Source organism: Homo sapiens, chromosome 17 (assembly GCF_000001405.40).
Source record: "Homo sapiens chromosome 17, GRCh38.p14 Primary Assembly".
Taxonomy (NCBI): domain Eukaryota; kingdom Metazoa; phylum Chordata; class Mammalia; order Primates; family Hominidae; genus Homo; species Homo sapiens.
Window position 1 is genome coordinate 68,195,574 of NC_000017.11, and position 23,046 is coordinate 68,218,619.

The 23,046-nt window shown below is 49.6% G+C and overlaps 1 protein-coding gene and 1 pseudogene across 8 annotated transcripts in view, besides 7 other annotated features; both read left to right on the top strand.

Moving 5' to 3' along the window:
• Positions 1–3,086: 3,086 nt before the first annotated feature.
• Positions 3,087–4,729, top strand: ARHGAP27P2 (Rho GTPase activating protein 27 pseudogene 2; annotated as a pseudogene). Its single transcript, NR_027283.1, has one exon. The product of NR_027283.1 is annotated as a Rho GTPase activating protein 27 pseudogene 2 (transcript).
• Positions 3,719–3,808: a silencer, noted in NCBI's record as "silent region_8890". NCBI's record gives its function as "represses an Ori minimal core promoter by ATAC-STARR-seq in GM12878 lymphoblastoid cells {active_cell/tissue: GM12878}" and the evidence as "EXISTENCE:reporter gene assay evidence [ECO:0000049][PMID:35858748]".
• Positions 3,839–3,978: a silencer, noted in NCBI's record as "silent region_8891". NCBI's record gives its function as "represses an Ori minimal core promoter by ATAC-STARR-seq in GM12878 lymphoblastoid cells {active_cell/tissue: GM12878}" and the evidence as "EXISTENCE:reporter gene assay evidence [ECO:0000049][PMID:35858748]".
• Positions 3,989–4,068: a silencer, noted in NCBI's record as "silent region_8892". NCBI's record gives its function as "represses an Ori minimal core promoter by ATAC-STARR-seq in GM12878 lymphoblastoid cells {active_cell/tissue: GM12878}" and the evidence as "EXISTENCE:reporter gene assay evidence [ECO:0000049][PMID:35858748]".
• Positions 4,725–5,541: an enhancer, noted in NCBI's record as "H3K4me1 hESC enhancer chr17:66196439-66197255 (GRCh37/hg19 assembly coordinates)". NCBI's record gives its function as "activates a minimal SCP1, AML or CMV promoter by ChIP-STARR-seq in naive H9 embryonic stem cells {active_cell/tissue: H9 hESC(naive)}" and the evidence as "EXISTENCE:reporter gene assay evidence [ECO:0000049][PMID:30033119]".
• Positions 9,640–10,169: a silencer, noted in NCBI's record as "silent region_8893". NCBI's record gives its function as "represses an Ori minimal core promoter by ATAC-STARR-seq in GM12878 lymphoblastoid cells {active_cell/tissue: GM12878}" and the evidence as "EXISTENCE:reporter gene assay evidence [ECO:0000049][PMID:35858748]".
• Positions 10,180–10,309: a silencer, noted in NCBI's record as "silent region_8894". NCBI's record gives its function as "represses an Ori minimal core promoter by ATAC-STARR-seq in GM12878 lymphoblastoid cells {active_cell/tissue: GM12878}" and the evidence as "EXISTENCE:reporter gene assay evidence [ECO:0000049][PMID:35858748]".
• Positions 10,390–10,439: a silencer, noted in NCBI's record as "silent region_8895". NCBI's record gives its function as "represses an Ori minimal core promoter by ATAC-STARR-seq in GM12878 lymphoblastoid cells {active_cell/tissue: GM12878}" and the evidence as "EXISTENCE:reporter gene assay evidence [ECO:0000049][PMID:35858748]".
• The window catches only part of AMZ2 (archaelysin family metallopeptidase 2), a 51,036-nt gene continuing 38,545 nt past the window's right edge, over positions 10,556–23,046 (top strand). For 6 of the 7 annotated variants that reach the window (NM_001346472.1, NM_001346473.1, XM_024450788.2 and 3 more), the window contains exon 1: positions 10,556–10,665. The gene's annotated coding sequence lies outside the window, so the exon portion shown is untranslated. Of the gene's footprint in view, positions 10,666–13,171; positions 13,475–23,046 lie in introns of those variants that run through there. The other variant, XM_047436210.1, reaches the window with a different exon arrangement.

Genomic DNA, 23,046 nt, shown 5'->3' on the forward strand with positions numbered 1-23,046 from the left:
GGTCTCAGACACACTGAGATTCTCAGAGTAAGTGTGGATTCAACGGGTGGGCAACGCCTAGCGGGGGCAAACATATAGAGATAAGGGAGTTCCAGAACGAGTGTGGCCAGATTCAGCTTCCCACCCAACCTTGGACCCCCAGGAGGTGGTGTCAAGAGGGGCCATGGCCTGGGGTGCGGGCGTCTCTTCCTCCCAGAACACTAGCCTGAATCAGCCAGCTCTGCGCACACACAGCCAGGTCCACAGGCACAACAATTTCCTGGGGCCCCTGAGGGCAGGGGGTCTGCTGGGGCTGGGGCTTGTGATGTGTGGAGTGAGCGCAGGCTCAGATCAGGGCAAGGCAGCTTGTCCAGAGAGGCAGATAATTCCCAAACAGAAGACCTCCAAGGCAGAGGGCCCTGGGGCTGGACTCCTGGCCTCCAGGAGGTTGTTCTGAGCTTACCCTGTGGACGGATTGGAGGGTGGCCCTCTTTCCCCACAAGGATCAAGAGGGACTGGGGGATGGTGGGAAGGCAATCTGGCCAGGAGAAGCTGCGGGGGAGACTCCCGCCATCCCCAGTCCCACCATCTCAGCCCCGCGGCCTCTTCCTCCCTGGAGACAGCCAGGTGTGGCCCAGGATCCCGGGAAGTGCAGCAGGGGAGGGGGTGGCGTCTTCGCTCCTCAGGCGCTGGCCCGGCGCCAGGAAGCCAGTGCGCCGGGGATTGTCTCTGTCAACTGCAGCCCAGACCCAGTCCGGGAAGTTCTGCCAGGCGCTCTCCGCCGGTGCCTCCCTGGTTATACTGTTATACAGGAAACCTGGCAGCGCGGGAGCCGCGCGGTCGAGGAGGGAGCGCGGAACGCCGAGCCCACGCGCGCCTGCCGGGGCAAGTGGAGGCGAGGCCGGCGAGCGGACGCCCCGAGCTGCCCGGGCAGGCAGGGTCGGGAGTGAGGCGCCGAGCGGGGGTTGAGGTGGGAAGTGGGGTTAGGGGTGGGGGTAGGGGGTGGGGAAGGGGACAGGGTGGGGGAGGAAAGGGTGCGGCAGGTGGCTGGTCCGCACCTGGGAGCTCCGCGCGCCTGCTCCCCTTAGTTCCGCGCTGGGGCAGGATCTGCGCGGGCCGCATCCCACGCGAAGGAGAAGGTAGGCGAAGGGCTGCCCTCCATTGGGCTGGAGGGCAGCAGGGAGGCCCCCAACGCCCACCCAGGCGTTGACGCCTCTGTATCTTGCGTCGCCTGGGCGGTGGACGCAGGAGACCTCCTGGCGACTGGTGCGCTCCTGCGCTCCAGGGATCCTCCCGGCACCCCGCCCCCCCCACCAATCTCTCTCCTTCTCTGTGTGCCCCCAGGTCGGGGAAGGAGCCGTGGCCGGGTCCCCTTCTTATCCAGCCCGAGACACCGCGCCTGGTGGGCGTCCCTGCGCTGGGAATCCCGCTCGGAGTTTTTCCAAGCCCGGCCGGGCTGTGCGGGGAAAGGCCCTGGTGAGGGAGGCGGGCCCGGAGCTGGCGGTCTGCAGTCCGGTTGGAAGTGCTCGCAGTGGGGGATTCAGGGTGCAAATGATCTCCCCGCGAGCGGGAACGCCCGGACAAGACAACCAGCCCCAGCCCAGCATTCCCAGAGCCGCGTGCGGGAGGGACGCAGGGACGCAGGGACAGCAAATCCCCAGGTGAGGGGAGAAGGGGGAAGGCCGGGCAGGGGCGGCCCCACCCTCCTTGGGTTCTGCTAGCGATCAGCCAGCACCCCTTCAGACGCAGCCCTCCCGGCTCCAGGCCCCGGCCTTCTGCTTCGGGCCTTGTCTTCCCCATGCCCCCAAGGTCCCCAGCAGAGGCCTTCTGGCCCCTCCTCGCCCCGCCCAGACACAGCTGCTTTGGGTATCGGTGACAGCACTCCTGAGTGTCCCTGTCCCTCTTAGCTCCCGTTGCCAGCTCCGGTTCCGTGCAGCCTCTCCGGCTTCGCCCCTGGAAGCCACGCCCAGGGCGATGGTCGGGGCCTAACCTGCCGGCTCGGCCCCCCCCGGCCCTTGGGCTCCCTGAGGCCCGCCCAGCCGACGTGAGTGCGCTGCGGGGTCCATGGGGAAGGGGCGCCGGGGCAGTGTCCTCCTTGGGGTTTGTTGGTCCAGCTCTGGGCAGCTCGATGACCCCGCCTCCGGGACCCAGTGTGCTTAGTGACTCAGTTTACACTTTTTCCTCGTCGAGGAACGCTTGAGAAAGTGGCGAAGGAGCCCTACGGGGGGCCTGGTTGGACCCTGCTCCTTCAGTCCCTCAGCCTCGGCAAGCGGCGGTCTCCTGGCCCCTGGTCCGGGTCACCTTAGGAGGCAGGAGGAGATGTGGTCAGTGTGGGAGCTTGGAGGGGCCATGCACTTCCGGAGAAGACCACCGACTCGTGGCTTTGGTGGAGGGGTGCAGGCAGATTTAGTTAGGCTCTCCCCCATCCCTGACACACTGGAGCCGGGGCGGGAGCGGGGCTTGTGACCACTCCGGAGAGCTTTGGGGGCCCCTGCTCTGGGACTCCGCACGGATAGTCACTGTCTCAGAGTGCATTCTCCAGGGGCCACTCTCGTGGAGGCATCCGGGGGGTCCCAGGGCAGGTGGGCAGCCTTTTTCGGGGGGGGTGCGGTGTGAGAGCCGGAGAGCAGGGGGCGGGGCGGGCCCGGCTGGGGCTCACGTCTGCGTTGAAGCCTCTGGGGAAGGAGAGAGAAACCAAGAGAACCGGTTCCCCCGCCTTGACAGCGGAGGCCCTCACACCGAGGCCCTTGGACTAAACCGGGCAGGGACAGCCCGCAGGTAAAGCTGTTCTCCGGGGCGTCTGCAGAGCCCGCATCCCAACCCTGACCCAGGGGCCGGGGCGCAGGCTCCTGGAGGGAGGCGGTGCTACGGGACTCTGCGGATTCTCTGCGGGCGGGAGGCGTCCAGGCGGGACAGGGCCCGGGGAGCGGCTGGCAATGGGCTGCTCTTCCCACTTGACTGATGGAAAACTAAGGCTCAGTCACCTGAGTAAGCGTGGTGTCGACCTCAGAGCGGGCAATCACCCCTCGTTTTAAAACCAAAGTTTCCCTCGCAGTCGATTTGGACCAAGACTACCCACAATCTCCCCACCGCAGGACTGAAGCGAGGCTGAAATCTTAGAATCAACCCCACGGAATGAAGAGGTTGTCGTAATTCCAGCACTGAGTGTAAGAATGGAAGCCTTACATGTGATTTTATTCAAGTCCCCATTTTAGAAATGGAAAAACTCAGGCCCGAAGGCGAACGGCGAATGCAGCATCGGGACTCGAACCCAAGTCTGTCCCCGAGTGCGGGGCTATTCCAGGCTCGGTGGTCTTGACCTCCACGGCCCTCCTCCTTGTTGCCTGCAGAAAAACGCCGCGGCCACGATGCCGGCGTATGTGGAGGGGGATGTCTACCTGGTGGTGGAGCACCCCTTCGAGTATACCCGCAAGGACTGGCGCCGCGTGGCCATCTGGCCCAATGAGCGCTACTGGCTGCTGCGGCGCAGCACGGAGCACTGGTGGCACGTGCGGCGCGAGCCTGGCGGCCACCCCTTCTACCTGCCCGCGCAGTACGTGCGCGAGCTGCCTGCGCTGGGCAAATGACCTCCCCGCGAACGGGAACGCCCGGACGAGACAACCTGCCACTGCCGCGCCGCCAGGTCCCCCCAACAGTCCCCTCGGCCCCCGAGCCGCTCACCTACGACTACCGGCTTGTGAGCGCGGCGGCGGCAGCGGGCCCCGACAGCACCCCCGCGGAGCCCCGAGGCCGCGCCAGCTCCCTGTGCGGCCCTTCGCAACGCGGCGCCGCGACCCAGCGCAGCAGCCTGGCGCCCGGCCTGCCCGCCTGCCTGTACTTGCGGCCTGCGCAGTCCCTGGACTACCTGGCGCGCGCCGCCGTCTCGCCTCCCGCCGGCCACCTCGGAAGGAGCGGCAGCTTCAAGGCTGCAGTGTGGCGGGTTCCTGGATGTGCCCGCGGCCCCTGGCGCGCAGCGACTCAGAGACCGTCTACGAGGCCATCCAGGATGTGCACGGCCCGCCGCGGGAGGAGAGCGGGGAACAGGGGTGGCGCGCTGGGGACCGCGCCCGCACGGAGCCGGGGCGCGAGGAGACCTGCTCCGCTCAGCGTCGGGCACGATGCCCACCTCTGTCTGAAGACTTGGAATGAGCTCCCTCTCCCCAACCGCGAAACGGGAGCGGTGCAAGCCCCTAGTCCCTCATCTGCGATTCCCAAGCTCCAAAGCTGCCTGGAAGCCCAGAAGTTTTTCGTAATCCAATTGGTGGCAAAATTGCGCTTGAACTGATGTGAGGCTGTTGATGGTCTTTATTTGTCAAACTTGTGTGAATATTCATGTTTTGCTGCAGAAATGCAAATGAGCTCGATGACCGGCTGCTGCCCCAAGCCCTGCTGGGAGGTTATGTGACCTACAGCAGGTGTGTGCCCCATAGTCTCTTTCCAAGTCCCAGCTGTTCTGTATTCCGAAGCGCATCTGGGCACGGAACGGGGGATTGCGGGCTTGCCGCCGGCTCAACAGCCTTGCCAGTCTCCCAGGAGCCTGGGGTCAGATGAGAGGGTGGATGTGAAACTCAGGCGTCTGCTTCCCTTTGAGGGTGCTTCCAACATTTCAGATGGGTTTGTTTGGGTGCTTCCAACATTGATGGGTTTGTTTCAGAAAGGCGTCCGGTTATGGTGAGGTTGTTTTTTTTCTCTCTTCAGAATCCGGTTGTGTTAATCAGGGAAATCGAAAATAAAGCACGTTTTAAAAACACGCTTACATCCTCAGAACACTCTGGGCGACCCTGACATTTTGAACTTTAGGAACTTTTCAAGGAGGGGCAGCCCGAGTGGGAAAAAGAGATGCTCAGAACCGTTCTTTCATCTGCCACCAGCTGTGTGATGATCTAGGGGCAGTTCCCTTCCTCTCTCAGGGTCTCGGTTTGTTCTTTAGCCCAAAGGGAGGGGATGGACAGATGACCGCTGAACCTTGGGAGCCTCTGATTTCTTTCGCTGTGCCTGATGTCATTACCATGAACACTGATGCCCACCATGTGCCAGGACTGAGTCCGGGATGCCCAAACGAAGAGACACGCCTCCGTAGGCCCGCTGCTGGATGTTCCCTCCGCTCGACTCGTTACAATGCAGAGCTCAGGTTTCGAGACTAGGGAAAGGGCAACTGGACTCTGCTGGGTCACCTGCCAGTTGCTGACAGCCACTTAACTTACACGCGAGGACGCTCCCCCAGGCCCAGCGTCCTCTGGTGTAAGCACAATACCTAAGGATTAGGGTTGTGAGCCCTAAACGAGGTAAGGCTTCTAAGCACTTGGCAGCAGCAGGGGGTCCACCCAGACTGTCCGGGTCGTCCTGGTTTGGCTTCCTTAGGACTGTGCCGCTTTCACTCGAGCTCCTGCAGCGGCAGCCCGCCGCCTTGTGGCCAGGGTGGAAAACGGCACCCGGCGGACAGGGCAGGAGACCACGGCTGTTTCCTGTTTCGCGCCCCTGCCAGCCAGCAGGCAGCTTCTCTGGGATGGATGGCTGGATGCCAGCGCTCTTCCCCCGCAGCGCCCCTCCGTTTCCTGCCCAGGCTCCCGGTGGCGCACTTCCCGGCCTCTCCACATTCTCTGTCCTGTAGGAGGGTTCCTGCCCGTCTGAGCGGAGCCCCTGGAGGTGGGGGAATGGCCTTATTCTTTGAACCTCGCATCCGGCCCAGGGTCTGGCTCAGACAGAGTGCACAGAGTGTGTGCTGAGGAGGGCGCAGGTGCGGCAGCCCCTTACCTATGAGCCAGGCCTCTGTAGGTCTGCCCAAGGGCCACCACCAGGCCCCAGGACCAAAGAGGAAGGAGACTGCCCAGGTCCTGACATCTCCTGAGAAGACAGATGACCCTGGCTGCCAGGGCGCCTGCCAGGTGGCCCCTCTGCCCATCCTTCCTCCAGCTCCCAGCAGGTTCCCAGTTGCAGTGGCATATGGGGGGAGGGGCACAGGTGATGAGGGCAGGGGACTTACCCGGGGGGAACTAGGACATTGGCCAGAGACAGGCTGCTCCTTGGCCCCACTTGTGGCCCTAATTCACTGTGTGACCTCCACAAGTCACTTTGCATCTCTGGTCCTGTTTCCTACCCTGTGCAATGTGCTGTTGCACTCCAGCCTGGATGACAGAGCAAGATTCTCTCTCTTAAAAAAAAAATCTTAATTCAGTTCTAATTCACTTCTCGAGGAGAGTCATGTATCTGGTAACCTTGGCATTGTTGCATGTAAGAGAAAACCAGAAAGGAAGTGATAGAGGCTTCCAAAACACTGTCACATAAATGAGCTATTAATTGAATTTTTACAACTGGCTAATGAGCTTTAGTATTTAGAATCACCGAATTCTATAGAGATGAACTGCTCTTTTAAAAGATCATGTGTTTTTAAACTCATGTTCAATGAGCCGATTATTTCATGAGGGTGCCAGGTGACATAGTGAAGACCACATATGCACAGAGTGATAGAACGCTGGCAGGTCCCAAGCCCTTTTCTGTGATTCTTCTCTTACCTCACCACTATCCTGCTCTTGACAGGATTATGGTTTCTTTGCACTCTCTTCCCTTTCTTCAGCCAGACCTTTCTGGAAGAAATCATTCATTTAAATTAAAAATAGATATATTTTTTATATCTATTTTCTCTCACCAGTATCCTGCTCTTGAAAGGCTTATGGTTTCTTTGCACTCTCTTCCCTTCAGCCAGATCTTTCTGGAAGAAATCATTCATTTAAATAAAAAATAGATATACCTTGCTAGGTCCTTCGGATATTTAGGTTCAAGTGAAAAAGAAGGTAAAGAATAGGAAAATGCCTTTAAGGCCAGGTGCTGTGGCTCACACCTGTGATGGGATGCCAAGGCAGGCGAGGATCAATTGAGCCCAGGAGTTCAAGAAACAGCCTGGGCAACATGGCAAATCCCCATCTCTACAAAAAATGCAAAAATTAGCCAGACAGATTGGTACACACCTGTATTCCCAGTTACTCAGGAGGCTGATGAGGGAGGATCGCTTGAGCCCAGGAGTTCAAGGCTGCAGTGAGCTGAGATCAACCCACTGTGCTCCAGCCTGGGTGACAGAGCAAGACCCTGTCTCAAAAAAACAAACAAACAAAAAAGCCTTTAAGGCCCAAGAAAATTCATCTAGACAGTAGTTCTGTTTTGGGAGGCTTGATTTTTTTTAATTACTATGGGAAATTTAAAACTACACAAATACGAAGAGAATAATGAACTCCCAAGCAACCATCATTCAGCTGTGACAATTATCAAAGTTTATCACTTTTTTTTTTTTGAGATGGACTTTTGCTCTGTCACCCAGGCTAGAGTGCAGTGGCATGGTCTCAGCTGACTGCAACCTCCACCTTTTGGGTTCAAGCAAGTCTCCTGCCTCAGCCTCCCAAATAGCTGGGATTACAAGTACCTGCCACCACGCCCAGCTAATTTTTGTATTTTTAATAGACACAGGGTTTCGCCATGTTGGCCAGGCTGGTCTCGAACTCCTGACCTCAAGTGATCTGCCTGCCTTGGCCTCCCAAAGTGCTGGGATTACAGGCGTTGAGTCACTGCTCCCAGCCAAATTTATCACTCTTGGTTCAGTTGTCACTGACCACTTTTTGAAATCCTATAGTGTTTTAAAACAAATCCCAGAAATCACGTTTCACCAGAAGTTCAGTATGTATCTCTATGTAGACATTTTTTCCATAACCATCATGTCATTATCACACTCAATAAATTAACTGTAATTAACAAATTAATCATCTGATTCTCAGTCCATATTCCACTTGCCCTAGTTTTCTTAGAGATACCTTTTTACTGTTAGCAGTAAACCAGGTCCAAACAAGGCCACACATTGCACTTCATTATTTTTCTTCAGTCTTTTTATTCTGTTATATAAACTTCAAGGAGTCCAAGAACCATTGAAATAGATTACAAAAGTTTATATACATACTTTTTTCCTTGGTAGAGGATCACAGTATTTATCCATTTCTAATAGGGTTTTGTGACACAAAGTATGTTAGAAGCCACTGATGTGGACTTTCTGGAATCATCAAATTGTGATAATTCTTCATACATGAAGTTTTATTATTTTTTGTATGTGTGTGAGACTGGCTGGAGTGCAGTGGCACGATCTCAGCTCCCTGAAACCTCTGCCTCCCAGGTTCAGGCAATTCTCCTGCCTCAGCCTCCCAAGCAGCTGGGACTACAGGCTCGTGCCACCATGCCCAGCTAATTTTTGTATTTTTAGTAGACAGGATTTCACCATGTTGTCTAGGCTAATCTCAAACTCCTGGGCTCAAGTGATCTGCCCACCTGGCCTCCTAAAGTGCTGGGATTACAGGCCTGAGCCACCGTGCCTGGCTATCCTCTTCAAACAAAATATGGGCATTTCCATTGGCCTAGGTCTTCATCTTGCCTACTTTATTGACTTACATTACTTACCTGGTCCTTGGAGACATATACACATTTGTCACCCTTAGTGCTCAACCAAATTGTATTGAATGCATTTATTTGGCAATTAGTTCTTGTATTTTAATTTTCATTTCACATATGTGTTCCATTTTCCTAACTAGATTGAAATAAGCCATTTGATATACAGAATCCTGTTAGGCATTTTTCTTTCTTTTCTTAAAATTTTGAAACAGGGTCTTGCTCTGTTACCCAGGCTGGAGTTCAGTGGTGCAATCACAGTTCACTGCAACATCCACCTCCCAGGTTCAAGCAGTCCTCCCACCTCAGCCTCTCGGGTAGCTGGGACCACAGGTGCACACCACCATGCCCAGCTAATTTTTTCAAAATTTTTCTAGAGACGAGGTCCTGCTATGTTGCTCAGGCTGGTCTTGAACTCCTGACCTCAAGCTATCATCCGGCCTTGGCCTCTCAAAGGACTGGGATTGCAGGTGTGAGCTACCACGCCCAGCCAACTATTTTTCTTTAAATTACTTTTCGGTTGTCACTTCTCTCAATAAATATTAATATGTACCTTTCTTTTATCTGAAGAGCTGACCTCAACCACTCAGGGTTGAGTCGCTGTGATAAGGTTTGAGGGTGCCTGAAATGTCATCATGATTCGTCCTTTGGGCTAAGCTGAAACCTAGTGACTTGTCAGGTCAATAAATTAAGGTTATTTCCCAATAATACAAACATTTAACACCGTGAAGTAGGTTTTAGGCAGGATTCCCTCTTTTCCACTGCAAAGGAGAGGTAAGTTCTTGCTGAGGTGGTCAAAGTCCCACCTGGGGCACTGGGAAGGTGGCGGGACATTGGAACGTGCAGTAGTTGCGTTCTGGAGTTTACTGAGGCTTTCCAAGTGGGCATTCCACGCAACAGGTCTTAGGGCGCCCCTCCCTCCGGGCGTGGCAGCCCGGGGCGTGGCTCCTGGCAAGGATCCGGAGCAGCTGTCATCGGAGTCAATTTCAGGACTCCAGCTCCAAGCTTTGGGGTTTCCAAAATTCTGGGGGCTTGTCTCCCTGTCCCCCCCCCGCCCCAAGTTTCCCTCCGTCGCTGGCGCTGTCCGGTGCCTTCGGTCGCTCGGGCCGCCCCCCTCAGCGACTTTTTTTTTTCTTTCTCTCGCTGGCTCTTTCAGCATCAGTTTCCCTAGGGGGCGGGAGGGGAATGATATTTGGGGGCTCCCCTGCCTTCCTCTCCGAGCCGCGGAAGGGGAGACGCGGGGAGGAGGTCTGGCCGGCTTTGGGCTCCAGCCAGGGGTCCGCGGAGACTGGTCTCCGAAGGCCTTTGACGCCGGGCATTTCGCGAGCTACGCGCCCCTCTCAGCCGCGCCATCCGCGCCCCGAGTCCAGGCGCACCGCGCTGCGCCGAGCCCAGGCGCTCCGGGCTCCGCGCTCCCGACTCGACGCCCCCGCGCTCCCCCTAGCGGCTGCCGCGCCGCCTCACTCGGTCTCAGGCTCTTCTGTGGCGCATCTCACGTGACCGCGCTGCGGGAGAGGGATGAAACAAGAGGGCGGCTGAAGCCGATCCTGAGTGGGGCCCCAGCAATTCGGAATGAGCCTTTTCCCTCCACCCGCTTCTGCCGACCGGGGCCCTCCCGCGCGGCCTCGCAGGCCTCCCCACCCGCGCCCGTCCCTCCTCCTCCGCTTTCCCTTCTCCCCCGTCCTCGGCTCCGACATTAGGGGCAGGCGGGGCAGGCAGCCCAAGCAGCCTGCGGCTTCCGCTGCGGAGCGCTGCGCCCCGGCCCCTGCCCCGGCCCCTGCCCCGGCCCCGCCGCCGCCGCCGCCCAAGTCCGGACCCATCGGGGGGCTCAGCTCGCGGCACCGCGAGCAGCAGGGGCAGGTGGGCCGCCGCCGCCGCCTAGGTTGAGGCAGCCTCCAAGCCGTGGCTGAGCTCGCCCAGGGGGGAGCAGCAGTAGCCGGAGGAAGCCGCCGCTGGTCCCCCAAGCACCAGCGCCCGGGTGGAAGGGGCGAGGAGGCGGGGGCGGCGGCGGCGGCGGCGGCCACCTGGCCCGGACCACCGCGGCCCGGAGGGCCGTGAACAAAGTGGTGTACGATGACCACGGGAGCTAGGAGGAAGAGGACGGCGACGTCGAGGAGACCCAGGAGTCTGAGGACAACGAGGAGCATGAGATGGAGGAGGACGAGGCTGATTCCGATTATCTGGAGGAGCTGGAAGACGACGACGACGCCAGTTACTGCACAGAAAGCAGCTTCAGGAGCCATAGTACCTACAGCAGCACTCCAGGTACCCACCCAGCCCAGTTGCTGCAGACTCCTTCCCCACCTCCTCTGCCCTCCCCCCTTGCTCACTCGTGTGCTGTGCATCCTGCTCCGATCTCCCCCCAACCCCGCCTCCCCCCCAAACAGAGGGGAAATGCGAGGGCACATCAAGTGGCAAAAAACTAGATTTACAAGAGGAAAGAGGCGCATTGTTAAAAATGGAGATTGCATTGTTGCAGTTTGCAGGCTACACTCGCTCGCTCTCTCTCTCCCCCCCAACCTCCTCTTTTTCCTCTTCAAAATTTGTGCCAGTGCAGTGTCTCCACCGGGCAGGATTGAAACTTTGGCAAACACGTATCCATTGCATTCATTTCTTTCCCCTTGTTTTGGTCTGGTTTTCTGGAATGAAAGAAGCCTCTTGTTTTACAAACCTCTTTGCATTTCTAATGTGGTTTCTTTCAGATTTTTATTAGATATGTTACTTAAAAGGGAATTAAGGGTTTGGACAGATTGTGGCACACAAACACACACAAAAACATGTCTGTTTTCACATCCCTAGCTGTGGTTTTAAAATTGTGTTAAGGAAATGGATCATTTGGGTTAGTAGGGGAATTTTATCTGGTCCTGTATGTTTGCTTTTATTCTTCGAGTGCTAATGGGCCTGTGCAACAGTTGCTGGTAAATGGCTGATTAAAAAGCAAAGCAGAAAGCCAAACAAGACCCACCCAACTTTGGTTATTCATTCGATTCAAAATTGTTTTTGGTTAAATCAAAAATGAAAGTACAAAACCGCAGGAACGCGCATCTTAGCTCATTTGATCGCTTTGCCTTGCTTGGGAAATGCAGTTTCGTGTCACCTGTTGCAGAAGATATGTAGTTGATCATCTAGACATAATTGCTGAAGATAAACTTTTGGACCAACTTCTAAGTCACACAGCATCATTATCAGATTTATTACACAACGACTTTTTTGTTTTCACTCTATTTCTGAGGAAAAAGCCTTCCCGAAATCCGTAATGAATTTCTCCATGGTAACCCCTCTTCTGTTTTCACACAGAAAAGTTTCTCTAGACTGTTGCTAAGATGCATTTTGTTAAATACCCCCCCCCCACAAAGGCTGCTTTGTATTAAATACGTAGTTGGAATTTACTAAATTGTGAAATTAACGTAACCGAAGCAACAACCGGCAAGACTTTTCCTTTATAATTTTGCAAATCTAGATTAATTAAATTAGAATCTGTTTTTAAAAGCATTAAAAAAATAAAGTTTATGAGAAAATACTTGTGAGGAAAAAGGACCCTTTTTTCCTTGAAGTAAGGTGTGTCATGTCTTTCTCAGAGAGACTGCTGTAGTAGAAGTGGTTAACTTGAAAAGTTTCTGATTTTTCATAAATGCTTACTTACTGGAGAAGTAGAGTAGTATTATCTTGAGCCAAATATAAACCTACGTAGGTTGTCCTAATGAGAGGTGACACCGTGCTGGCAGCCCTCATAGCCCTCCCTGGCTGTCGGCGCCTCCTCGGCCTTGGCGCCCACTCTGGGCGCGCTTGAGGAGCCCTTCAGCCCGCCACTGTACTGTGGGAGCCCCTTTCTGGGCTGGCCAAGGCTGGAGCCGGCTCCCTCAGCTTGCGGGGGAGGTGTGGAGGGAGAGGCGCAGGCGGGAACCGGGGCTGCGAGCGGTGCTTGCGGGCCAGCGTGAGTTCCCAGTGGGTGTGGGCTCGGTGGGCACGCACTTGGAGCAGCCGGCAGGCCCCGCCGGCCATGGGCAGTGAGAGGCTTAGCACCTGGGCCAGCAGCTGCTGTGCTCAATTTCTCGCAGGGCCTTAGCTGCCTTCCCACGGGGCAGCACTTGGGACCTGCAGCCCGCCATGCCTGAGCCTCCCCTGCCCCCGTGGGCTCCTGTGTGGCCTGAGCCTCCCTGACGAGCACCGCCCCCTGCCCCACGGCGCCCAGTCCCATCGACCACCCTAGGGCTGAGAAGTGCGGGCACAGGGCGCGGGACTGGCAGGCAGCTCCACCTGCGGCCCCAGTGCGGGATCCACTGGGTGAAGCCAGCTGGGCTCCTGACTCTGGTGGGGGACTTGAAGAACCTTTATGTCTATCTAAGGGATTGTAAATACACCAATCGGCACTCTGTATCTAGCTCAAGGTTTATAAATGCACCAATCAGCACCCTGTGTGTAGCTCAGGGTTTGTGAATGCACCAATCGACAATCTGTATCTAGCTAATCTAGTGGGGAGGTGGAGAACCTTTGTGTTTAGCTCAGGGATTGTAAAGGCACCAGTCAGCGCCCTGTCAAAAGAGACCACTCGGCTCTCTGTAAAATGGACCAATCAGCAGGATTTTGAGTGGGGCCTGATAAGAATAAAAGCAGGCTGCCCCAGCCAGCAGTGGCAACCCATTCAGGTCCCATTCCACATTGTGGAAGCTTTGTTCTTTCGCTCTTTGTGGTGAATTTTGCTGCTGCTCACTCTTTGGGTCCACACTGCCTTTACGAGCTGTAATACTCACCGCGACGGTCTGCAGCTTCACTCCTAAAGCCAGCGAGACCACGAACCAACCAGGAGGAACAAACAACTCCAGACACGTCGCCTTAAGAGCGGTAACACTCACCTGGAAGGTCAAGGTCTGCAGCTTCACTCCTGAAGCCAGCGAGACCACGAACCCACCAGAAGGAAGAAACTCCAAACACATCCGAGCACCAGAAGGAACAAACTCCGGACACGCCGCCTTTAAGAACTGTGACACTCAGCGCGAGGGTCTGCGGCTTCATTCTTGAAGTTAGTGAGACCAGGAACCCACCAATGCTGGACACTAACATAAACTGGAAAAAGGTAATTTGTTTTGCCGGATGGTCAGAATCGTTGCCAGACTTGTCCGGGGAGGCTGTATGGAGAATAAAAGGAATGAATTCAGTGTCAGATATTTATGTCTTATATGTAGAAAGGACTACATGTAAATTTTTGCCAACTTAATTTTAGTACTTTTTTTTTTTTTTTTGATGGAGTCTTGCTCTGTCGCCTAGGCTGGAGTGCAATGGCGCGATCTTGGCTCACTGCAACCTCCACCTCCTGTGCTTAAGCGATTCTCCTGCCTCAGCCTCCCCAGCAGCTGGGATTACAGGCGCCCATCAGCATGCCCGGCTAATTTTTGTGTTTTTAGTAGAGATGGGGTTTCACTATGTTGGCCAGGCTGGTCTCAAATTGCTGACCTCAAGTGATCCGCCTGCCTCTGCCTCCCAAAGTGTTGGGATTACAGGCGTGAGCCACTATGCCCGGCCTTTAGATGTGTCTTGTATTTTGCATGCAAGCGTGTGTTAGTGATGGACTTCTTTTGTAAAATAATATTATAGAAGAAAATAATTGTGGGTGTGTGTGTGTGTGTGTGTGTGTATATGTATATATATATATATATATATATTTTTTTTTTTTTTTATACAGAGTCTCCTCTCAGGCTGGAGTGCAGTGACGTGATTCTGACTCATGGCAACCTCCACCTCCCGGATCAAGTGATTCTCCTGTTTCAGCCTCCTGAGAAGCTGGGATTACAGGTGCCTGCCACCATACCCGGCTAAGTTTTGTATGTTTAGTAGAGATGAGGTTTCACCATGTTGGCCAGGCTGGTCTTGAACTCATAAACTCAGGTGATCCACCCCCTTTGGCCCCCCAAAATGCTGGGATTACAGGCTTGAGCCACCACCCCAGCCCCAGTATATTCTTTTGATTTTAAAAATTAAAATATTATAAAATTAAAACCCAAACCACAATGAGATACCACTTCACATTCACTAGCAGGGCTGTAATGTTTAAAAAAAATAAAAATAAAAAGTGTTGGGGAGGATTTGGGGAAATTGGAACCATTATGTATTGTTAGAGAGAATGTAAAACCATGTAACACTGGAAAATGCTTTGGCAGTTACTCAAAAAGTTAAACTTAGAGCTACTATATGACCCGGTAATTCTATTCATACATATATAGTCAAAAAAGAATTGCAAACAAATGGTCATGCAAAAACGTATACACATATGTATACAGCAGCATTATTCTCAATGACCAAAAGGTGGAAACAGCCTACATGTGCATTAACTGATGAATGGATAACCCAAATGTGATTGATCCATATAACAGATACATTATTCAGCCTTGGAAGGAAATTCCGACATGTTACAACATGGAGAACCCTTGAGGGCATTATGCTAAGCGAAATAAGCCAGTCACCAAAGGACAAATACTGTGTGATTCCACTCATGAGGTACTTAGAGTGTTCAAATTGGTAAAGACAGAAAGTAGAAGGGTGATTACTGTAGGCTGGGAGAAGGAGAGAATGGGGAGTTAGTGCTTAATAGGTACGAGTTTCCATTTGGGAAGATGAAAAAGTTCTGGAGATTGGTTGTACAACAATGTGAATATACTTAACTCTACTGAATTGTACACTTAAAAATGGTTAGAGACAACCAGGTGTGGTAGCTCATGCCTGTAATTCCAGCACTTTGGGGGGCCACGGTGGGAGGATCACTTGAGTCCAGGAGTTCAAGATCAGCCTGGGCAACATAGAGAAATCCTGTCTCTACAAACAATGCAAAAATTAGCCAGGTGTGGTGGTGTGTGCCTGTGGTCCTAGTTACTTGTGAGACTGAGGTAGGAGGATCACCTGAGCCCAAGGAGGTTGAGGCTGCACTGAGCTGTGTTTACACCATTGCACTCCAGCCTGAAAGACAGAGTGAGACCCTGTCTCAAAAAAAAAGGGGGGGGGGGAGGTGGTTAGAGTGTAAATTTTATGTTATGCATACTTTACCACAATTTTCAAAAATTATTTGAAAGAAGCCACACACAAAAATCTTGTTTAGTGAAATCACGTATTGTATGATTTCGTTTATATGGAATGTCCCAAATGGGCAAATTCACAGGAAGTAAGTAAATACTTGCCAGGAAATGGGAGGGGAAATGGTTGAGTAGGGCCAGTGATTCTGGGGCTTCTTTCTGGGGTGATGAAAATGTTCTGGAATTGGCCGGGCACGGTGGCTCACGCCTGTAATCCCAGCGCTTTGGGAGGCCGATGCGGTAGGATCATGAGGTCAGGAGATCGAGACCATCCTGGCTAACACAGTGAAACCCCGTTTCTACTAAAAATGCAAAAAAATTAGCTGGGCGTGGTGGCGGGCATCTGTAGTCCCAGCAACTCGGGAGGCTGAGGCAGGAGAATGGTGTGAACCTGGGAGGTGGAGATTGCAGTGAGCCAAGATTACACCACTGCACTCCAGCCTGGGCAACAAAGCAAGATTCCGTCTTAAAAAAAAAAAAAAGAAAAAATGTTTTGGAATTAAATAGTGGTGATGGTTTTACAACCTTGTGAATACTATACTAAAACCCACTAAATTGTGCACTTATTTAAAAGGGTGAATTTATGGTGTATAAATTAATTATATCTCAATAAAAATAAAAAGTGGTATGAAGAATTGGGAAAACATATGTATATGTATATATATGTATATATGTATATGTATATATATGTATATGTATATATGTGTATATGTATATATGTATATGTATATATGTGTATATGTATATATGTATATGTATATATGTGTATATGTATATATGTATGTGTATGTATATGTATATATGTACATGTATATATATGTATATGTATATATGTGTGTGTATGTATATATATATGCCTTGAGTCTTTTTTAATCAGTTCCCTTTGTCCTTTTAAGTTATACCCAACTGATACTATATTATCATAAGGTTTCCAGTCCAGATCTATCTGTATATCTTTATCTCTATCTATATATATCTGTATTTATATATCTCCAGAAAAATATGCAAAATGGCTTGCTGATTTTCTTTTGATTTTAAAACTTAACATGTTTTTGGCCAGGTGTGGTGACCCACACCTGTAATCCCAGCACTTTGGGAGGCCAAGGTGGGTGGATCACTTTAACCCAGTAATTCAAGACCAGCCTGGGCAACATATCGACACCCCCTTTTCTACAAAAAATACAAAAATTAGCTAGGCATGGTGGCACGTGCCTGTAGTTCCAGCTACTTGAGAAGCTGAGGCAAGAGGATTGCTTGAGCCCAGGAGGCAGAGGTTGCAGTGAGCCAAGAATATACCACTGCACTCCAGCCTGGGTGACAGAACCAAATCTTGTTTCAAAGAAGAAAAAAAAATCTACCCTTGAAGTGGCTTATGCCTGTGATCCCAACACTTTGGGAGGCTAAGGCAGGAGGATGCCTTGAGCCCAGGAGTTTGAGGCTGCAGTGAGCTATGATTATGCCATTGCACTCCAGCTTGGGAGACAGAAAGAGACCTTGTCACAAAAATAAATAATTTAATTAAATAATTTTTTTTCTTTTCTTTCTTTTTTCAGGGTCTCTTTCACCCTGTCATCCAGGTTGGGGTGCAACGGCTCAATCTCAGCTAACTGCCACCTCCACCTCCTAGGTTCAAGCGATACTCCCACCTCAGCCTACCAAGTAGCTAGGATTATACAGGTGCACACCACCACACCTGGCTAATGTCTTTTGTTTGTGTATTTTTTGTAGAGATGGGGGTTTTGTCATGTTGCCTAAACTCCTGGGTTCAAGCAATCCACCGACCTCAGCCTCCCAAAGTGCTGGGATTACAGGAGTGAGCCATCGCACCTGGCCAATTTTTTCCTTTTACTGTGTCTGTGGTTCCACAACTTCCTTTTTTCCTGTTCTCTATGGACTTTCTACCTCATTTGGACTCTGCTTAGATTGGCCTAGTTCTCTTTAATCAAATCTTCAGGAACCAATTCATTACCATTAAAAATGATCTAACAAGCTTTATTTTTTATCATTGTTAAAAATCCTCGTTTTGAGTAACACAACCACAAAGTAAAGAATGTTATCATTGATTTAACCAGTAAAAGACAATACTTAACAATAAAATTTTAAAAACATACGCCAGCCGGCTTACCTGGTGAAAAAAATGATTGCGGCTGCAAGCTGCATTTGCCAGACAATGGTTTTAGATTTGCTGTGCACGCTGAACGCCATGAAAAATGGACTGCCTGGCCTCTTCATAAGGAAATCAATTACTTGCCTCTTTCTGAGTGAAAAGAATGAAAGGATTTAAAAAATCATAATAACCAAAATGGGGAGAATAAAACAAACTGGGCAGAGGGATGGGCTACTTTGCGTCTTCAGCTTCTGAAGTCTTCAAAGCCCTCTTCCAGTTCTTAGAATTAGGTCACATGAAAAAATCTGGTAGGATGAAATGAGTGTCAGAGCAGGGAATGGAAAGGAGAGTAGAAACTTTATCAATGTGCTGTCGAGAGGTCTGAATCCACACTGATTCTTGATTCTTTGTGGCTGGAAGCTTACGGAATCTTCGCTGTCTATGGTGTTCTGCAGTTTTACAGTGATACGCCCTTGTGTGGGCCACTTTCATCCACGAGGTATTTTTGGTGGGCGTTTTCAATCTGGCAATTGTGTTTGATTCTGAGAACTTCTCCTGACAACTTCCTCTTTTCCCTCTTGTATTTATCTTGAGCTATGATTTTATTGAACGTTGGACTTCCTATTTTGGTCTTCTGACATTCTTATCATTTCTCTCCAGTTTTCCTCTTTGTCTCTTTTTCTTTTTGGGGTATTTGTATGTGTTCAGGTTTTTAAGATTTCCTTATCTTGGTCGTCCAACCCTACTATCCAGTTTTTCCTTTCTGCTACCATATTTTTATTATCTAAGAGCTCTTTTGTTTTTAGAATCTTCCTTTAAAAAAATTAGTAAAATCCTGTTTCTGTGTCCTGGATATAGTATTTTCTCTTACTTTTCTGAGGCTATTAATGACAGGTTTTTTTTTTTCTCCTCTGTGCATGGTCTGTTTCTTCTAAGTTGCTGCTTCCTATTCTTTTTTTTTTTTATTTCTTCCTCAGATGTTTATTAATTCTTAATTTTCTGCTTCTCATTAACATCGTGGTACTCTGTAGCCAGTTGGAAGCTCTGAGCAAGTGGGTGGGCCTTATCAATTTTGACTTAACCATTGGATGATTTTCATTGTCTCTTTTATTGGGGGAAATCCCTCTTGTCAGTATCTTGAGGTCTGTCCTCGAGAGTAAGCTCTAGAGGAGCGATGGCATGGAAAGGCCTTTTCCTGTGTCCTGCTTGAAGCATGGAGGTCTTGCTGGTGGTATTCTGGTGGCTGAGTGGTGGAAGAAAGCTTCATTTATTGTGCACACAGCATTTACTATGTATATCGTCACTTAAATCCTCAGTTTTCTGTACAGTACCTTTCTTCACAACTGAGCGTGGTTTCTCCCAGTCCAGGGAACCTCAGTTTACCTCCTCTAGAGACTAGACCTTTGGCAGCTTGAAGGGGAGAGAGATGGTTTAGGAATCTGCTCCAGCCAGTTCCCTATTCTAGAGACACCCCTCCTTGTTATCATTGCGTTTTGAGGATTGTGTTCTCAACTTCACCTTCCTTTTTAGTTGGAGATCAGACTTTCTTGAGTCTGCTGAGGCAGTAATCACTTGTTCATCTACTTTCAGAATTTTTTTTTTAATTGTGTGTCTCCTACTTTATCCTTATGAGTTAGTCTTTAACAATTTTTTTTTTTTTGACAGGGTCTCACTTTGTCACCCAAGCTCTGAACTGCAGTGGCGCTATCTTGGCTAACTGTAGCTTCGACCTCCTGGGCTCAAGCAGTCCTCCTGCTTCAGTCCCGCAAATAGCTGGGACTACAGGTGTGTGACACCACGCCCGGCTAATTTTTGCATTTTTTGTAGAGACAGGGTTTCACCATGTTACTCAGGCTGGTCTCGAACTTGTGAGCTCAAGCCATCTGCCCTCCTCGGCCTCTCAAAGTGCTGGGATTATAGGCGTGAGCCACTGCGTCCAGACTAACAATATTTCTTTAGTATGGTTTTAAGAAGGTTTCAGGAGGGAGCAAAATGAAATCTGTCACCTTAACCCAGAAACTGCTAAGAGAAACAATACATAAGGTTTTAAATGTATATTCTATGTCTTTTGGTTTGGATCAGATATTTTAAGAAATATGTGTAAAATATGTGTAACTTTTTTCTTTTCTTGCTCCCTTACCTCCCAAACATCTGGTCATGGTATTCATTGTGCCATTTTTTGCTTTTGTCTTTGTTTTAACATTTCACTGTTGAGGTGGTAACATGGAAACCTTTGTCAGCAAGGTCATTCCAAATGGTGAAATAACTGTAACCACATTTTTAAAGTTTAAAGTTTACTGCTCTCAGGAAGCTGAGGCACAGGAATCGCTTGAACCTAGGAGGCGGAGGTTGCAATGAGCCGAGATGGAGCCACTGTACTCCAGCCTGGGTGATGGAGTGAGACTCTGTCTGTCTCCAAAAAAAAAAGTTTACTGCTGTGTTGTCATTGTAAGTGGAAATTCAGTGATGGCTGCCTGTCAGGGAGCCCGGTGCTTGTACTCTGTATAGACATTCAGCAGTTATAGCAGGTCACATTCACGCAATCTCAAGTGCCCTCTTGAAAGGAGCTCATAGTCATCAGGATGGCTGGGAACAAATTAGGAAGTAAGTGAAATTTAGTCCATGCTCCAATTCTCCCATTCCTGTGCCTTCCTTTCTGTGCTGCTTGTCCTTACCCTTTGGATATTCACTCTCACTGCCTCTTTCTTTCCCTGTGCTGCCCTTTTTGGCCAGATACAGACCAAAGGTGTCTTGTCCACATACAGAAAAACCTTGACATCTGTAAGGCTCATTACACAGTAATCAGTGGTATAGGTCTTAGTTTCAGAGACCTGTAAAAAGAAGTAGTTGTGATAAGTTAGTAACAGCCAAGAGCAACATTTAGTGAGCACTTCATGCATGCCTCACAGTGTCCTAAGCATTTTATGTATTTTAAAATTAAACCTCCCAACAGCCCAATAACGCAGGTACTATATTTTTAAATTTTATTTTACTTTTAATTAATCACTTTTGGAGACAGGGTCTCACTGTCGCCCAGGCTAGAGTGCAGTGGCATGATCATGGCTCACTGCAGCCTCAATCTCCCAGGCTCAGGCTGTCCTCTCACCTCAGCCCCCCTAGGAGCTGGGACTACAGGCATGTGCCACCACGCCCAGCTGATTTTTTTATTTTTTATTTTGTAGAGGTCTCACTGTGTTGGCCAGGCTGGTCTCGAACTCCTGGGTTCAAGCAATCCTCCCACCGCAGCCTCCCAAAGTGATAGGATTACAGGCCTGGGTCACCATGCCCTGCCTTGCAGGCACTATTTTTGTCTGCATTTTATAGATGAAGAGACTAAATCTCAAAGAGGTTAAATAATTTGCCCTTGATTTGCCCAAGATCCTATGGCTCTTAGGAGGTAGAACCTGGAATTTTTTTCAGAACGTATTTTATGAGAGTATTTTCAATACCTTATTTTATACTGTAGTCTATAGAGTTTTCAAACCATCTTCTTGAGAAATCTGCAACTTGCATTGTTTTAGCTGTTAAAACCAATGCTTATAACTCGAGGAGAAAGATACTGTAATGGTTTTTGTTATATCTGCAGTGAGTATTTATGAAATCTTTAGGCCGGGCACGGTGGCTCACGCCTGTAATCCCAGCACTTCGGGAGGCTGAGGCGGGCAGATCACAAGGTCAGGAGTTTGAGACCATCCTGCCTAACATGGTGAAATCCCATCTCTACTAAAAACACACAAAAAAATTAGCCAGGCGTGGTGGCACGTGCCTGTAGTTCCAGCTACTCGGGAGGCTGAAGCAGGAGAATGGTGTGAACCCGGGAGGTGGAGCTTGCAGTGAGCCGAGTTTGCGCCCCTGCACTCCAGCCTGGGCGACAGAGCGAGACTCCGTCTCAAAAAAAAAAAAAAAAAAGTCTTTAAAATTTTGAAATAAAGGCGTTTTAAGAAAATCTCAACTAAGTGGCCTTTCAGAAAAGTTCTGTTTCCTGATATATCAGTATCAATATATGAAACAGCATTCAGGGAAGCAAAATATATACTATTTGATAGTTACATAAATGCAAACCTTTGAAATCACATGACTCAGATGACAAATACCTGTGGGTGAATTTTTGATACATTGTCGAGGAAATCAAATATTCTGTTTTTCTTAGTGGAACAGTAAAATTCTTTACTCAAGTTATATTTGTCAATAAAACTGTTCATTTAAGTTTATTTGCTTTAAAAGCTATAGTCGTCATTCAAATTGCCTTTTTTGATGCATAATAAAGTGCACAGATTTTAAAGATGATTTCAGGCAAATAGGATTATCTTTTTCCATGCTGTGATATCTTGAGTATTTTTCTATGTAAAGTCAAGTAGGAAACTTTAAACATAGTGATAATTAAGTGTTCTGTGTCAACAATTTTGACAAATCTGAAAGATTTTACATCTTTTATGAAAATGAGATTAAAGTAATTTCAGTTTAACTGTACTTTTGTGGTAGATTACATGTGGACTCCTCATGATAGTTTTAAAGCCATGTAAAATTTTCACACAGTTTATAGTATGCAGAGGTTTTAATTGTAATGTTAGCAATTTATAGAAATTAAGTTTTCCATTATTGCTTTTATTTAATAAGTGCTTAAAAATATGTTATTTGTATAGGTTAGTGAAGCATATAATAAAAAAGATTTTTTTTTTTTTTTTTTTTGAGATGGAGGCTGGCTCTGTCGCCCAGGCTGGAGTACAGTGACGTGATCTCAGCTCACTGCAAGCTCCACCTCCCGGGTTCACGCCATTCTCCTGCCTCAGCCTCCTGAGTAGCTGGGACTACAGGCGCCCGCCATCACGCCCACCTAATTTTGTGTATTTTTAGTAGAGATGGGATTTCACCATGTTAGCCAGGATGGTCTCGATCTCCTGACCTCGTGATCTGCCTGCCTCTGCCTCCCAAAGTGCTGGGATTACAGGCATGAGCCACCGTGTCCGGCCAAAAAAAAGGTTCTTATACATGAATTTATGGTCCACCTGAGGAACCAAGACATATTCAGCATATAACTTAGAGGTCAGTTTTCATTCATTATGTAAGTGGGCCAATCTTTGTTAACTATTGCTTTTATCCTGTCAATCTTTGCTCTGAAATTAGGACCTACTAAAATAGAAATGGGCAGATAAGATTAGCATGTTTTTCTGTCACTGTCCATTCTAAATAAAACTACGTGAACACAGCATTATGTTTTATTTTTTTTTTGTAGAGACAGAGTCTCACTATGTTGCCAGGCTGGTCTCGAACTCCTGGGCTCAAGCGATCCTCCAGCCTTGGCCTCCCGAAGTGCTAGGATTACAACAGGTGTGAACCACCACACGCATTTAAGCAGCATTTAAAATCAATCTATATTCTTTTCATTTTCCAAATGAACTAAACTATACTTTTAAATCTATACAGCTTTCTACTCCCCTTTCTAGCTACAAGCCACATGTGAGCTTATTGACTTTAGTT